This window comes from Homo sapiens, chromosome 7 (assembly GCF_000001405.40).
Source record: "Homo sapiens chromosome 7, GRCh38.p14 Primary Assembly".
Taxonomy (NCBI): Eukaryota; Metazoa; Chordata; class Mammalia; order Primates; family Hominidae; genus Homo; species Homo sapiens.
The window spans coordinates 129988054-130005657 of record NC_000007.14 but is presented as its reverse complement, the minus strand read 5'-3'; the positions used below and the strand labels follow the sequence as shown (position 1 = coordinate 130005657).

The following is a 17604-nucleotide window of genomic DNA, read 5'->3' as shown; positions in this document are numbered from 1 at the left end:
TAAAAATTAGCCATTGCACTCCAGCCTGGGTGACAGAGACCATGTCTCAAAAAAAAAAAAAAAGCACATTTTCACATAACATACACTTCTGTAGCTCTTCTCCATCTCATTTGTTCTCAACATGGGAGAGCAAAAAGAGAGAACTGACATGGAAACCCTTGGGTTTTTTTTTCTGTCTTGTTTGAGACAGAGTTTCAAAAAAGATAAAAGCCTTGTCCAAAGACTACAAACTTGTCGCCCAGGCTGGGGTGCGGTGGCGTGATCTTGGCTGACTGCACAACCTCCACTTTCCAAGTTCAAGTGATTCTCCTGCCTCAGCCTCCCGAGTAGCTGGGATTACAGGCGTGCACCCCCATGCTTTGATAATTTTGTTTTTTTGTTGTTTTTTTTTTTTTGAGATGGAGTTTCACTCTTGTTGCCCAGGCTGGAGTGCAATGGCATGATCTCAGCTCACTGCAACCTCTGCCTCCCAGGTTCAAGTGATTCTCCTGCCTCAGCCTCCCTAATAGCTGGGATTACAGGCATGCACCACCACGCCCGGCTAATTTTTTGTATTTTTAGTAGAGACGGGGTTTCTCCACGTTGGTCAGACCAGACTGGTCTCGAACTCCCAACCTCAGATGATTCGCCCGCCTCGGCCTCCCGAAGTGGTGGGATTACAGGCGTGAGCCACTGCACCCAGCCTAGTTTTGTATTTTTAATAGAGGTGGGATTTCACTATGTTCGGAAGGCTGGTCTCGAACTCCTGACCTCAGGTGATCTGCCTGCCTCGGCCTCCCAGAGTGCTGGGATTACAGGCATGAGCTACTGCGCCCAGCCCCCGTTTTTTTTTTTTTTTTTTTTTTTAATTAAAATAAGGATAACTAACCTTGTTTGGAGCTTTATAATTCACAAAACCTATACAAAAGCGTTGTCTCATTTGATCCTATGATACCTCTACAGAATTAGGTCAACAGACATTATTCTCAACTTTCTTTTGCAGATGAGAAAATTTTGAACTGCAGAGTCAGTAAACCAAGTAAGATCTCTAACCCAGGTCTATCCAACTCAGGGCTCTGCACTCTTTCTGCTATAGTTTACTTTTTGTTGATTGCATTAACACTATTACAACTTAACAACCAGTAATTAAATAAAAAGGTAGAGGGGGGATTTTTTGTTTGTTTTGGAGGGTTTTGTTTTTCTGGAGACAGGGTCTTACTCTGGTGCTCAGGCTGGAGTGCACTGGTGCAATCATAGCTCACTGCGGCCTCGAACTCCTGGGCTCAAGTGATCCTCCTGCTTCAGCCTCCTGAGTAGCTGGGACTATAGGACCACAAGCACGTACCACCACGCCCGGCAGAAAAAGATAGTTTGAAAAGTATCTTGTAAAACATAAGGCTTTGGCCAGGCACGGAGGCTCACGCCTGTAATCCCAGCACTTTGGGAGGCCAAGGCGGGCAGATCACCTGAGGTCAGGAGTTTGAGACCAGCCTGGCCAACATGGCAAAACCCCGTCTCTACTAAAAATACAAAAATTAGCCGGGCATGGTAGCAGGCACCTATAATCCCAGCTACATGGGAGGCTGAGGCAGGAGAACGGCTTGAACCTGGGAGGTGGAGGTTGCAGTGAGCCAAGATTGTGCCACTGCACTGCACTGCAGCCTGGGCAAGAGAGTGAGAGTCTGTCTCAAAAATAAAAATAAATAAGGCTTTATTTATACATTTAAAAATTTGTTGGCTGGGCACGGTGGCTCATGCCTGTAATCCCGGCGCTTTGGGAGGCCGAGGTGGGTGGATCACAAGGTCAGGAGACTGAGACCGTCCTGGCTAACAGGGTGAAACCCCGTCTCTAATAAAAATACAAAAAATTAGCTGGTCGTGGTGGCGGGCGCCTGTAGTCCCAGCTATTCGGGAGGCGGAGGCAGGAGAGTGGTATGAACCCGGGAGGTGGAGTTTGCAGTGAGCCGAGATCTTGCCACTGCACTCCAGCCTGGGCTACAGAGCGAGACTCTGTCTCAAAAAAAAAAAAAAGAAAGAAAATTTGTTTTAGGCTGGGCACGGTGGCTCATATTTGTAATCCCAGCACTTTGGGAGACCAAAGTAGGAGAATCACTTGAGCTCAGGAGTTCAAGATTAGTCTGGGCAACATAGCGAGATCTCATTTCTACTAAAAATAAAAAATTAAAAAATTGGCCGGGTGCGGTGGCTGACACCTGTAATCCCAGTACTTCGTGAGGCAGAGGTGGGCAGATCACCTGAGATCAGGAGTTCGAGACCAGCCTGGCCAACACGGTGAAACTCCGCCTCTACTAAAAATACAAAAATTAGCTGGGCATAGTGGCACGCGCCTGTAACCCCAGCTACTCAGGAGGCTGAGGCAGGAGAATCACTTGAACCTGGGAGGCGGAGGTTGCAGTGAGCGGAGATCGCGCCATTGCACTCTAGCCGGGGAGACAGAGCAAGACTCCATCTCAATAAATAAATAAATTAATTAAATAAATAAATAAATAAATAAATAAATATAAATAAATAAAAATATTAGCCAGGTGTGGTGACAGGTGTCTGTAGTCCCAGCTACTTGGGAGGCTGAGGCAGGAGGATCACTTGACCCCTGAGATTGAGACTGCAGTGAGCTATGATTGTGCCACTGCACTCCAACCTGGGTGACAGGAAAAAAAAATTGTTAATGAAATTGAGATACAGCACACAGTCAAAGCTACTTCTGGTCCATATGAAATCTATCTAGCAGAGCAAGGACTGTTTGTATGGTGAGCAACCTGCCCAGCTGCACAGACGTGTGAATTATTAGGGGTGAGGTGGGGAGGCAGCATGAGATTTGAAGTCACAGAATCTGAAGCTTAGTTACAGTTCTGCCTCTATTATTAGCTTTGTTGCGTTAAGCAAGTCATTTTGCCTCCCGGCATCTGTTTCCATGTCTATGAATCTCAGACGTTAATTATACTGTTCCCTTCATCAGAGTATTTTGAGACTTAAGTGAGGTAAAATGCTGGATGAATGCTGTTGTCTTACAGATGAGGAAAGACTTGCCCAAAGTCACACAGCCAGTGAGTGGCAGAGCTAGGACTCAAATCCAGCTCTCCCGGCTATAGGTCAGCTCTCTTTCTACCATGTTTGCATTTGATACATATAGTTGGTGGTCTACAAACTAACTTTTTGGGGAAGCGTATTATTATTATTATTATTATTATTTTGAGACAGAGTCTTGCTCTTGTCACCCAGGCTGAAGTACAGTGGTGTGATCTTGGCTCACTGCAACCTCCACCAGGGAGGCCTCTTTTTTTTTTTTTTTTTTTTTTTGAGACGGAGTCTCGCTCTGTCACCCAGGCGGGAGTGCAATGGTGCTATCTCAGCTCACTGCAAAATCTGCCTCATGGGTTCAAGTGATTCTCCTGTCTCAGCCTCCTAAGTAGCTGAGATTACAGGCATGCGCCACCACGCCTGGCTAATTTTTGTATTTTTAGTAGAGATGGGGTTTTACCACACTGGCCAGGCTGGTCTCAAACTCTTGACCTAAGGTGATCCGCCCACCTCGGCCTCCCAAAGTACTGGGATTACAGGCATGAGCCACCGTGCCCAGCCTATTATTCTTAATTGTTGTTTTTGTTGGGGATGGATATGAGTTGTGGGTAAGTACTTCAGAGAGGGAGTTACTGGTGATCAGGCATTTCCCTTAGATTTCTAGTACAGTTTATCAGCTGTCCAACACCCGTGCCCCTTTCTTACTTCCCAAAATGACTGGGATGGGCTTGTTTTTGTTTTTGTTTTGAGATGGAGTCTCGCTCTGTCACGCAGGTTGGAGTGCAATGGCATGATCTCAGCTCACTGCAACCTCTGCCTCCTGGGTTCAGGTGATTCTCTTGTCTCAGCCTCCCGAGTAGCTGGGATTACAGGCACACGCCACCACACCTGGCTAATTTTTTGTATTTTAGTAGAGACGGCATTTCACCTTGTTGCCCATGCTGGTCTCGAACTCCTGAGCCCAAGTGATCCATCTGCCTCAGCCTCCCAAAGTGCTAGGATTACAGGCATGAGCCACCACGCCTAGCCAGGGGTTGGCTTGTTTACACACTCCCCAGCATTGGCAGGTAAGGGACATACAGCATCATATCTATCGATATGATACTTATATCTACTGTATTTACCCTGTGGGCAGAGATAAATGTGCAGCCCTCACCTGGCTTCAGGGCTGGAATTTTGCAGAGTGGATATCGAAGGACCTGCATGGTCCTCTTCATTCACCAAAGGGTGAATTCATTCACCTTCGTTCACCAAAGGGTGACTGGGTGCCAGTTCACAGAGAGGAGGAAGATATGAGAAAGAGCATACCTGAGGGAGAGTCAAGAGTTTCAAATGGGGCCGGGCGTGGTGGCTCAGGCCTGTAATCCTAGCACTTTGGGAGGCCGAGGTGGGTGGATCACCTGAGGTCGGGAGTTCGAGATCAGCCTGACCAACATGGAGAAACCCCATCTCCACTAAAAATACAAAATTAGCAGGGCATGGTGGCACACGCCTGCAATCCCAGCTATTAGGGAGGCTGAGGAAGGAGAATCACTTGAACCCGGGAGGCGGAGGCTGCTGCGAGCCGAGATCGCACCACAGCACTCCAGCCTGGGCAATAAGAGCGAAATTCTGTCTCAAGAAAAAAAAAAGAGTTTCAAATGGGGCCGGGTGTGGTGGCTCAGGCCTGTAATTCCAGCATTTTGGGAGGCCAAGCTGGGTGGATCACTTGAGGTCAGGAGTTCGAGACAAGCCTGGCCAACACGGTGAAACCCCATCTCTACTAAAAATACAAAAATTAGCCAGGCATGGTGGCACATACCTGTAATCCCAACTACTCAGGAGGCTGAGGCAGGATAATTGCTTGAGCCCAGGAGGCAGAGGCTGCGCAGTGAGCAGAGATCGCACCATTGTGCTCCAGTCTGGGCAACAGAGTGAGACTCTGTCTCAAAAAAAAAAAAGAGTGTCAATTGGGTCATAGTTAACTCTGAGATATTCATTAGACATTCATGGCTGGGCGCGGTGGCTCATGCCTGTAATCCTAGCACTTTGGGAGGCCAAGGCGGGTGGATCACCTGAGGTCCACAGTTGGAGACCAGCCTGGCCAACATGGTGAAACCCCATCTCTACTAAAAATACAAAAATTGTATTTTGTATTTTTAGGGTGCGGTGGCTCACACCTGTAATCCCAGTACTTTGGGAGGCCGAGGCGGGCGGATCAAAAGGTCAGGAGATTGAAACCATCCTGGCTAACGCAGTGAAACCCCGTCTCTACTAAAAATACAAAAAATTAGCCAGGGGTGGTGGCAGGTGCCTGTGGTCCCAGCTACTCGGGAGGCTGAGGCGAGAGAATGGCGTGAACCCGGGAGGCGGAGCTTGCAGTGAGCCGAGATCATGCCACTGCACTCCAGCATGGGCCACAGAGCGAGACTCCGTCTCAAAAAAAAAAAAAAAAAAGAAAAAAAAAAGAAAAAAAAAAGAAAAAGAAAAGAAAAATGCAGCCTAGTCCTTTCAAGCTAAAAGGAAATGCATTCTAAATTGGACTAGGGAGGAGTCAACCTTCCATCAGGGTGGCAGAATAAGAGTGTCAATTTCTGTCTCGCTGCAGGCCTGGGACCTTCTGGCAGGTAAGGCCAGAGAGCTTTGGAGGTGCAAGTGGGGACTCAGGGTGCCACCCTCTGACGAGCTCTTGCTTTCTTTACAAGAAGATTTATTCCCAGTCTTCTTTCTCATTTTTCTTTGTTTCTCAGCTCCACACCTATGTTTCTAACCACCTCCTAGATGTTTCCATCTGGATATCCTGTTGTCACCTCAAGCTCAATATGACCAGAAGCTACCTCCTGTTTCTGTCAGTGTTGTTTTTGTTTTTGTTTTGAGATGGAGTTGTCGCCCAGGCTGGATGGAGTACAGTGGCAGTGATCTCAGCTCACTGCAATCTCCACCTCCTGGTTTCAAGCAATTCACCTGCCTCAGCCTCCCGAGTAGCTGGGATTACAGGTGCCCACAACCACACCTGGCTAATTTTTTTTTTTTTTTTTTTTTTTTGAGACGGAGTCTCGCTCTGTCACCCAGGCTGGAGTGCAGTGGCGTGATCTTGGCTCACTGCAACCTCCGCCCCTCCAGATTTAAGCAATTCTCTGTCTCAGCCTCTGGAGTAGCTGGGATTACAGGCGCGTGCCACTGCGCCCGGCTAGGTTTTTTGTATTTTTAGTAGAGACAGGGTTTCACCATCTTGGCCAGGCTGGTCTTGAACTCCTGACCTCGTGATCCACCCGCCTCGGCCTCACAAAGTGTTGGGATTACAGGCGTGAGCCACCGCGCCTGGCCAATTTTTGTATTTTTAGTAAAGACGGACTCTCAGCATGTTGGCCAGGCTGGTTTCAAACTCCTGAGCTCAAGTGATCTGCCCACCTCAGCCTCCTAAAATGCTGGGATTACAGGCATGAACCACTGCCCCCATCCACTGTTGTTTTTTTTTTTTTGAGACAGAGTCTCACTCTGTTGTCCAGGCTGGAGTGCAGTGGAGCCATCACAGTTCACTGCAACCTCCAGGTTCACGTGATCCTCCCACCTCGGTCTCCTGAGTAGCTGGGACCACAGGCGAACAACCACCACGCCCAGCTAACTTTTGTATTTTTTGTAGAGACATGGTCTCACTATATTGCCCAGGCTTGTCTCAAACACCTGGGCTCAAGTGATCCTCCCCTCAGCCTCCCAAAGTGCTGGAATTACAGGTGTGAACCACCACGCCCAGCCAGGTGTTGTTATAATTATCCCAATCACTCAGGCCGGAAATCTCAGCGTCATCTTTGATATTTGATGTCTCCCTCTCCCTCGCCTCCAGCCATCAGTCTCCAAACCGGTCGCCTCATCCCTCCTGCATCTCTTCCATCCTCAAGTGTCTCCTCCTCACTTGTCTTGCTCTCCCAGAGACCAGGTTATCATGGCATCATGTCTAGACTGCTCTCTGAGATAGATCTGCCTCCAGGCTTTACCCTGTCTAACCCATCTTGCACACAGTCCTGCCAGATTAATTGCTTCAAAACGCCACTTTTACCAAGCCAATGCCATTTGCAAAATCCTTCAATGACTCCTCATTCCTAGGGAATTGGGGCTTTTCCAGTCTGATTTCAACAACCTGCAGGGCCTGGTGGCTCATGCCTGAAATTCCCACACTTTGGGAGGCCAAGGCGGGCAGATCACCTAAGGTCAGCAGTTCAGGACCAGCCTGGGCAACACAGCAAAACCCTGTCTCTACTAAAAAAATACAAAAATTAGCCAGGTCTGGTGGCACATACCTGTAATCCCAGCTATTCAGGAGGCTGAGACAGGAGAATCACTTGAACCCAGGAGGCAGAGGTTGCAGTGAGCTGAGATTGAGCCACTGCACTCCAGCCTGGGCAATAAAGCGAGACTCTGTCTCAAAAAATAAAATTAAAAATAAAAATAAAAACAACCGGCAGGGCGTGGTGGCTCACGCCTGTAATCCCAGCACTTTGGGAGGCCGAGGTAGGCAGATCACGAGGTCAGGAGATCGACACCATCCTGGCCAACATGGTGAAACCATGTCTCTACTAAAAATACAAAAATTAGCTGGTCGTGGCGGCGCGTGCCTTTAGTCCCAGCTACTTAGGAGGTTGAGGCAGGAGAATCATTTGAACCTGGGAGGCAGAGGTTGCAGTGAGCGGAGATTGCACCACTGTACTCCAGCCTGGCGACAAAGCGAGACTCTGTCTCAAAAAAATAAAAATAAAAATAAATAAATAAAAATAAAAACAACCTTTGTCAACTTTAATTCTGTGAGAAGAGTCTTCCTCTAGCCAGCTGGTGTACGTATATACTTCCTGAACAAACCGCTTAGTGTGCTCACCATTCCCGTGTGTTTCCCCCAGGCTTGGAATGGTCTTCCTCGTGTCTCTCTCCCTATCTCAATTGTATTTACCCTTCAAGACTCAGTGCTAACCCCAACTTCACACCAGTTCACGATTCATTGCTCAGAACTCCTGTAGAATTCACTGCCTATAACATACACATTTATTTCATATATATATGTTTCATTTTTTTGTAGAGATGGGGTCTCGCTATGTTGCCCAGGCTGGTCTCAAACTCCCAGCCTTGCACAAGACCTCCTGAGTATCCCAGTGTGCTGGAATTACAGGGATGAACCGCTGCACCTGGCCTTTTTTTTTCTTTCTTTTTTGAGGCAGGGTCTCACTCTGCTGCCCAGGCTGAGTGCAGTGGCACAATCATGGCTCACTGCAGCCTCAACCTCCCAGGCTCACGGGATCCTACCACCTAAGCCTCCTGAGTAGCTGGGACTACAGGCACACACCACCATGCGCAGCCAATTTTTTATTTTTTGTAGACATGGGGTCTCACTATGTTGCCAGGCTGGTCTCGAACTCCTGGACCCCAGCCTCGGCCTCCCAAAGAGCTGGGATTACAGGTGTGAGCCACCACACCTGGCCTATTTCTTTTTTATTTTTCTTCCAAACACCAACTCAAACTAGAACACACACATACATTTCTTGCTCACATATCATCTTGCAACATCTCTGTTTTTGTTTTTTGTTTGTTTGATTTTTTGAGACAGAGTCTTGCTCTGTCACCCAGGCTGGAGAGCAGTGGCACAATCTTGGCTCACTACAACCTCTACCTTCCGGGTTCAAGCGATTCTCCTGCCTCAGCCTCCTGAGTAGCTGGGATTACAGGCATGCACCACCATGACAAGCTAATTTTTGTATTTTTGTAGAGACAGGGTTTCACCATGTTGGCCAGGCTGGTCTTGAACTCCTGACCTCAGGTGATCTGCCCGCCTTGGCCTCCCAAAGTGCTGGGATTACAGGTGTGAGCCACCATGCCTGGCCATCTCTGCTTTACCATAGTGATAAGAATGTAGGCACTGGAGAATAAAAAGGGAAAAAAGAAGGTGGAGTCTGGAATCAGATTCCCTGAGGTCAAATCCTGGCTTTGCCACTTATTCCCTGTATGACCTTGAGTAAGTCACCTAACTTCTCTGTGCCTCATCCATAAGATGGGGATACTAATATTATTTACCTTATAGGGTTTAATGTGATGATTAAATGATTTAATACACAAAGTACTTATAAACATACAATTACCATGTGATCCAGCAATTCTGCTTTTGTGTATATACCCAAAAGAACTGAAAGCAGGCTGGGCGTGGTGGCTCACGCCTGTAATCCCAACACTTTGGGAGGCCGAGGCAGGTGGATCACTTGAGGTCAGGAGTTCGAGACCAGCCTGGCCAGCATGGTGAAACCCCATCTCTACTAAAAATACAAAAGAATTAGCTGGGCGTGGTGGTGCACACCTGTAATCCCAGCTACTAGGAGGCTAAGGCAGGAGAATCATTTGAACCCGGGAGGCAGAGGTTGCAGTGAGCCCAGATTGTGCCACTGCACTCCAGCCTGGTTGACAAAGAGAGACTCTGTCTCAAAAAAAAAAAGAAAAAAAAATAACTGAAAGCAAAGATTCAAACAGATGTGAATATACCAATAATCACAGCAGCATTATTCACAAAAACCAAAAGTGGGAACAACCCAAATGTCTATCAGCTGATGAATGGATGAACAAAATTAGGTGTGTACCTACAATGGAATACTATTTAGCCTTGAAAAGGAATGAAATTCTGATGCATGCTATCACACATAAGAGACTTGAACACAGTATGCTACCTAAGACAGATGCAAAGTAAAAATATTGTCTGATGCCACTTATATGAGGTACCTAGAATAGGTAAATTCATAGAAACAGAAAGTAGAATAGAGGTGGCCGGGTGCGGTGGCTCACGCCTGTAATCCCAGCACTTTGGGAGGCCGAGGTGGGCAGATCTTGAGGTCAGGAGATAGAGACCATCCTGGCTAACACGATGAAACCCTGTCTCTACTAAAAATACAAAAAATTAGCCAGGCTGAATGCACCTGGCTGAATGTGTTCATTTTCATCTCCCTGGGAAGGTAACCATCTGAGTTCTGAGATGTGCCACAGGTATCCTCTGTCTACAGTCTTTCTTTTGAGACAGAGTCTCTCTCTGTTGCCCAGGTTGGAATGCAATGGCACAATCTCGTCTCACTACAACTTCCACCTCCCAGGTTCAAGCGATTCTCCCGCCTCAACCTCCCTCACAAGTAGCTGGGATTACAGGCATGCGCCACCATGCCCAACTAATTTTTTTTTTTTTTTTTTGAGATGGAGTCTCGCTCTGTCGCCCAGGCTGGAGTGCAGTGGCGCGATCTCAGCTCACTGCAAGCTCTGCCTCCCGGGTTCATGCCGTTCTCCTGCCTCAGCCTCCCAAGTAGCTGGGACTACAGGCGCCCACCACTGTGCCTGGCTAATTTGGTTGTATTTTTAGTAGAGACGGGGTTTCACCATGTTGGTCAGGTTGGTCTCGATCTCCTGACCTCAGGTGATCCACCTGCCTCGCTCAGCCTCCCAAAGTGCTGGGATTACAGGCTTGAGCCACTGCACCTGGCTAGAGTCTCCCTTTTTTTTTTTTTTTTTTTTTTTTTGAGATGGTGTCTCAGTCTGTCGCCCAGGCTGGAGTACAGTGGTGCGATCTCAGCTCATTGCAACCTCCGCCTCCCAGGTTCAAGCGATTCTCCTGCCTCAGCTTCTGGAGTAGCTGGGACTACAGGCGCACGCCACCAGCCCAGCTAATTTTTGTATTTTTAGTGGAGACGGGGTTTCACCATGTTGGTCAGGCTGGTCCCAAACTCCTGACCTCAGGTGATCCATCTGCCTCGGCCTCCCAAAGTGCTGGGATTACAAACGTGAGCCACAGCGCCCAGCCTACAGTCTTTCGTTACTGGTTTTAGTATCTATTATTACTTAGTGTATCATATTATCCGTTCATTCAACAAGTTTTTTGGTTTTTTTTTCCTGAGACACAGTCTCGCTCTGTCACCCAGGTGGAATGCAGTGATGCCATCATGGCTCACTGCAGCCTCAACCTCCTGGGCTCAAGTGATCCTCCAGTCTTAGCCTCCCAAGTAGCTGGGACTACAGGTGTATGCCACCATGCCTGCCTAATTTTTAAATTTTTAATAGAAATAGGGTTTTACTATGTCGCCCAGGCAGGTCTCAAACTCCTGGTTTCAAGCGATCCTCCTCCCTCAGCCGTGTGAGCCACTGTGCCTGGCCCATTTCTTAAGTACCTACTCTGGGTCAGCCATTGTGATAGGTGCTGGGGATACAACAGTAGGCAAAATGGATACCAGCCTACCTGGTACACATAGAGGGCATATAACCTAGTGTACAGAAGATGACCATAGGCTGAGGACGGTGGGTCCTGCCTATGATCCCAGCTACTCAAGAGGCTGAGGCCAGAGGATCATTTGAGCCCAGGAGTTTGAGGCTACACTGAGCTATGATCGTGTCATTGTTCTCCAGCCTGGGTAACAGAGCAAAACCCTGTCTCTTAAAGAAGACCATAAAGCAGAAAAATTCATTTTTCTTTCTTTTTTTTTTTTTTTGAAACGGAGTCTCGCGCCGTTGCCCAGGCTGGAGTGCAGTGGTGCAATCTTGGCTCACTGCAAGCTCCACCTCCCGAGTTCACACCATTCTCCTGCCTCCGCCTCCCGAGTAGCTGGGACCACAGGCGCCCGCCACCTCGCCTGGCTAATTTTTTGTATTTTTAGTAGAGATGGGGTTTTACCATGTTGGCCAGGATGGTCTCAATCTCTTGACCTCGTGATTCGCCCGCCTCAGCCTCCCAAAGTGCTGGGATTACAGGCGTGAGCCACCACACCCGGCTGAGAAATTCATTTTTCTAACAAACATGCAGGATCGAACTATCCAAAGGTGTACTCTCCTCCCAAAGTTGTGACTTTGAGAGCATGATACCCCGTACACGCACTTCTAACAAGGGTTTTGTTTGTTTTATTTTGTTTTGTAGCTTTTCTCATGAAATAGCTTTGAGAGCCCCTGGCACATTCTTTTAAATAACCTCAGTGGTGGCAAGGCCTTAAGTGGTTTATGGCAGCTCTGACTTTCAGAAATAGCTAAAAGGCATTCAGAGTTAAGTCTGGCAAATAATTCTCGTGATAAAGCTAGGTAATAACACTGCGGGTAAATAAATATACAAATAAGACTCTCCGGAGACTGATTCTTGTCTTGCTCAAGAAGTGTTTCTGGAAGCAATTCCAAAACCGGAGAGCCAAGAATGCTGCAGGCATAACAGCATCACCGTTGAGCTTCTGAGAGTGAAAAGGGCAGCAATTATCTGCCTGTGAAGCTCCACAGCGTGGCAGGGTTGTTTCACTCCACAACCTTCGAGCTTCTTTTATTTATTTATTTATTTATTTATTTTTAAATTTTTTGGTTTTTTGAGATGGTGTCTTGCTCTATCGCCCAGGCTAGACTGCAGTGGCCTGATCTTGGCTCACTGCAACCTCCACCTCCTGGGTTCACGCCATTCTCCTGCCTCAGCCTCCCGGATACCTGGGACTACAGGCACCCGCCACCGCGCCTGGCTAATTTTTGTATTTTTAGTAGAGACGGGGTTTCACTGTGTTAGTCAGGATGGTCTCGATCTCCTGACCTCATGATCCGCCCCCGCCTCGGCCTCCCAAAGTGCTGGGATTACAGGTGTGAGCCACTGCGCCCAGCCATTCAAGCCCCTTTTAAACTTGAGAGCCTATGGCTCTATTTGTGTATTAAAAAACAATCTCAGGCTGAGCACAGTGGCTCACACCTGTAATCCCAGCACTTTGGGAAGCTCAGGCGGGCAGATCACTTGAGGTCAGGAGTTCGAAACCAGCCTGGCCAACATGGCAAAACCCCGTCTCTACTAAAAATACAAAAATTAGCCGTGTGTGGTGGCACATGCCTGTAATCCCAGCTACTCGGGTGGCTGAGGCACAAGAATCGCTTGAACCTGGGAGGCAGAGGTTGCAGCGAGCCGAGAGCGTTTCACTGCACTTCAGCCTGGGCAATACAGTGAGACTCAGTCTCAAAACAAACAAACAAAAAAACCAAAATGAAACAAAAAAACACAATCTCATTACAGGGCAGTCATAACTCCTAGGAGAAGGAAAGGGCCTTAGGCAGCATCTTCCAACCCCCAGTCTGTGCCAGCCACATTTGAGGACAGGGCAGCGCCAGGGTGATGATGGCCCAGCTACAGGTGCCAGCATCTAGATGCAGGTGCCAGCTCTGTCCCTCACGAGCTGGGACCGATGGCATGTTACTTAGCCTCTCTGTGCCTCAAAATCTTCTTCTTTAGAACGGGAAGTATAATGGCGACCACCTTGTACCCACTCCATAAGAGAGGGGTGAAAATTAGATAAGTCAAGACATTGTAGGGCATGGAGAACAGAGCATGGCACACGGTTGGCAAATGAGTATTTTTCCAAACAGATTTTTGGTTCTTCAGAAGCAGGGGCCATGTTTGCACTTTCGTTTGGTATGGGACCGGGCATAAAACTCAACATGACATGCTCAATAAAAATGTATTCCAGCCGGGCGCGGTGGCTCACGCCTGTAATCCTAGCACTTTGGGAGGCCGAGACGGGTGGATCACAAGGTCAGGAGTTCAAGACCAGCCTGGCTGACATGGTGAAATCCCATTTCTACTAAAAATACCAAAATTAGCCAGGCTTGGTGGCATGCGCCTGTAATCCCAGCTACTCGGGAGGCTGAGGCAGGAGAATTGCTTAAACCTGGGAGGCGGAGGTTGTGGTGAGCAGAGATCGCGCCACTACACTCCAGCCTGGGTGACAGAGCAAGACTGCCTCAAAAAAAAAAAAAAAAAAGTATTCCACAGCTACTTGGGAGGCTGAGGTAGGAGGATTGCTTAAGCCTGGGCTGTTGATGCTGCAGTGAGTCGTGATTATGCCACTGCACTCCAGCCTGGGCAACAGACTGAGACCCTGTCTCAAAAAGAGAGAAAAAAAAAATTATTTCAGGGCTGGGCACAGTGGCTCATACCTGTAATCCCAGCACTTTGGGAGGCCATGGCAGGAGGATTGCTTGAGCCAGGAGTTTGAGATCAGCCTGAGCAACATAGTAAGACCCTGTCTCTAAAAAAGGAAAAAATTAGGCCAGGCTCAGTGGCTCATGTCAGTAATCCCAGCACTTTGGGAGGCCGAGGCAGGTGGATCACTTGAGGTCAGGAGTTTGAGACCAGCCTGGCCAACACTGTAAAACTCCATCTCTACTAAAATACAAAAAATAGCCGGGTGTGGTGGCGGGCACCTGTAATCTCAGTTACTCGGGAGACTGAGGCAGGAGAATTGCTTGAACCAGGAAGGCGGAGGTTGCAATGAGCCAAGATTGCACCACTGCATTCCAGCCTTGTCGACAGAGCGAGACTCCCTCTCAAAAAAAAAAAAAAAAAAAAATTATTCCAGAATAAAGCCCACATCCTCCAACACCCCCAAGAGCTCTGTGTCCTGGTACTCGCGTCTGCTTAGACACCAGCTCCTTGCCTTCCTCTTGGGGACTTTCACTGTGATCATGTCTCCCCTTGGGCTTTGGTTCCCCACAGTACAAGACTCAGAGGCAGTTCCCTTTCTGGCAGGTGGGCAGCAGCGGGGTGTGCGAAGTCAGCTGAGCAAGAGGGGCACAGGAAACACAGGGCCCTCTGTCTTAAGTTCTCACTTCAGCCGTTTCATGGGGACCATATTCTCGTGATTTAAAATAGAGCCCTCCTGGTGGCCAGGGCAAGCTTGCAAGGCACACCGCAGCCTAGCTGGCCCAATGTGGCAGTGGGGCTGAATCTCCCAGCCCGCCAGCCTGCCTGCTTGTCTGGCTGCTCTGGAGAAGAGTGGCTTTGTTTTGGGGTCAGGTGCTGGCTACCGGAAGCTGCAGGAGCTGCGAGGAGCAGTGCTTGAGAGAAGGCTGTCATTCCCTGGAGCACCAACTCCTCAGAGGCCTCTCCATCACTGGGGAGACCTCAGGATCCCCAACTAGCTGGCTTCTCACTGGCTTGATTCTATTTTTAGACACTGTGGTAGGTTGGATGATCTCCAGTCCTGAACATGCTCCCAAGGCACCAGCAGAATTTTCAGCACCTCAGGGATATGTTTGTCTCTTCCCCAGAACTGACCAAAGAGCAGAAAACCAAAAGGTTACAGTAAGGGGCAGAAGGTCAATGTTCAGCTGCCTCTCACAAGGGCAGGTCTTGGCCAGAGATGAATGGTGGCTTTTCATGGATGATCTGGTCCAAACCCAGCCCACTGTGCCTAAGCAGAGATGTGATCACAGTCCTCCCAAGCCTTCTGCCCCTCCAGGGCCCAGTTCAAGGCCTCTCATAGTCTCATAGCCCTAGGATTTTTGTTTTTGTTTTTGTTTTTTTTTTGAGACAGAGTCTCGCTCTGTCACCCAGGCTGGAATGCAGTGGTGCGATCTTGGCTCACTGCAACCTCTGCCTCCTGGGTTCAAGCAATTCTCCTGCCTCAGCCTCCTGAGTAGCTGGGATTACAGGCACGTGCCACCATGCCCGGTTAATTTTTTGTATTTTTAGTGGAGATGGGGTTTCACCATGCTGGCCAGGCTGGTCTTGAACTCCTGACCTTGTGATCCGCCCGCCTCGGTCTCCCAAAGTGCTGGGATTACAGGCATGAGCCACCGCACCTGGCCGGAATTTTTTTTTTTTTTTTAAGATATGGAGGTGGGGAGTGTAGGGGCACTGGTCTCAAACTCCTGGGCTCAAGTGACCCTCAGCCTGTCTCCCAAGTAGCTGGGACTATAGATGTGCGTCACCGTGCCCAGAGTCTTAGGATTGATCACAGCTGAATGCTTCCCTTTCCAGCCTTCCTCAGACTCCTCCAGCAGGTCCTCCACACGCAAGTGGGCATCAATGTCACCAGGGTGGTTTGTTATAAACAGATGCAGATGCCTGGGCCCCACTTTAAACTCATTAAATCAGAGTCTGTAGGGTGGAGCCAGGCGTCTGAATTCTTTAACAGGGCTCGGGGTGATTCTGATTCACACCAAACTCTGAGAGTCAAAGCCCTAATCAGTCATGTTCTCTTTGATCTTCACTTCCTTGATTGAGACTAGAAACCCCCGAGGCTTGGATTGGGGCCAACATCATTTCTGCCTCTCTAAAAAATAGTTTCTGTTGAAATTATGCAGATACCAGATCTGCAAAATGAAGGAGTTTCTATTTGCCTGGGGATTGGCATTTCCCACACATCAGATTCTGCTTTTTAAATATAAAATGTGGGCTGGGCATGGTGGCTCACCCCTGTAATCCCGGTACTTTGGGAGGCAGAGGCCGGCGGATCACTTGAGGTCAAGAGTTCGAGACCAGCCTGGCCAACATGGTGAAACCCCGTCTCTACTAAAAATACAAAAAATTAGCTGGGTGTGGTGGCACATGCCTGTAGTCCCAGCGACTAGGGAGGCTGAAGCATGAGAATTGCTTGAACCTGGGAGGCTGAGGGCAGTGAACCAGGATCACGCCACTGCACTCCAGCCTGGGCAACACAGTGAGACTCCATCTCAAAAAATATATATATCTATATATGTATATATATATGCATATATATAAAATAAGAAGGGTCACTGGCCAGGCGCAGTGGATCATGCCTGTAGTCCCATCACTTTGGGAGGCTGAGGCAGGTAGATCGCTTGAGCTCAGGGGTTCAAGACCAGCCTGGGCAACATGGCAAAACCCTATCTCTACAAAAAAATATAAAAACCAGCTGGGTGTGGTGGTAGGTGCCTGTAGTCCTAGCTACTTGGGGGGCTGAGATGGGAGGCTCACTTGAGCCTGGGAGTTTGAGGCTGCAGTGACCTACTATTGCACCACTGCACTCCAGCCTGGACATCAGAGTGAGGCCCTGTCTCTAAAAAAAAAAAAAAAAAAAAAAAAAAGGCCAGGTTTGTTGGCTCATGACTGTAATCCTGGCACTTTGGAAGGCCAAGGTGGGAGGACTGCTTAAGCCCAGGAGTTCAAGACCAGCCTGGGCAGTATAGCAACACCCCATCTCTAATTTTTAAAATTAAATTTATTATTATTTTTTTGAGATGGAGTCTCACTCTGTCGCCCAGGCTGGAGTGCAATGGTGCAATCTCTGCTCACTGCAACCTCCGCCCCAGGGATTCAAGCGATTCTCCCACCTCAGCCTCCTGAGTAGCTGGGATTATAGGCACCCACCACCACGCCCGGCTAATTTTTGTATTTTTGTAGGGACAAGGTTTCACCAAGTAATACAAAAACTACTTGGGTGTGGTGGCAGGCGCCTGTAATCAAAGGTACTCGGAGGCTGAGGCAGAATTGCTTGAACCCTGGAGGCAGAGATTGCAGTGAGCGGAGATTGCGCCACTGCACTCCAGCCTGGGTGACAGAGTGAGATTATGTCTCAAAAAACGAACGAGTTATATGTGTGTGTGTGTGTGTGTGTGTGTGTGTGTATATATATATATAGAGAGAGAGAGAGAGAGAGAGAGAGAAAGGGAGGGAGGAAGGAAAGGAGGGGAACTGCTCTATCCCTCCCCTGACAAGACCTTCCCTTCCCCATCCTTCCTCGCCTCTCCCTGCTCTCTGCCTCAGTCCCAACCGGAAAAATGGGACTTAATGAAGATTGTTGGTTCCTTCCACATGCTTGAGCCATTACCAGGGGTGCACACCAGTCT

General features: G+C 48.5%; 1 long non-coding RNA gene across 1 annotated transcript in view, besides 2 other annotated features; it reads right to left on the bottom strand.

Moving 5' to 3' along the window:
- Nucleotides 1–17604, bottom strand: part of UBE2H-DT (UBE2H divergent transcript) — a 73246-nt gene that overhangs the window by 20655 nt on the left and 34987 nt on the right. The window lies entirely within an intron of this gene.
- Nucleotides 14214–14713: an enhancer, noted in NCBI's record as "H3K4me1 hESC enhancer chr7:129630785-129631284 (GRCh37/hg19 assembly coordinates)". NCBI's record gives its function as "activates a minimal SCP1, AML or CMV promoter by ChIP-STARR-seq in primed H9 embryonic stem cells {active_cell/tissue: H9 hESC(primed)}" and the evidence as "EXISTENCE:reporter gene assay evidence [ECO:0000049][PMID:30033119]".
- Nucleotides 16050–16149: a silencer, noted in NCBI's record as "silent region_18641". NCBI's record gives its function as "represses an Ori minimal core promoter by ATAC-STARR-seq in GM12878 lymphoblastoid cells {active_cell/tissue: GM12878}" and the evidence as "EXISTENCE:reporter gene assay evidence [ECO:0000049][PMID:35858748]".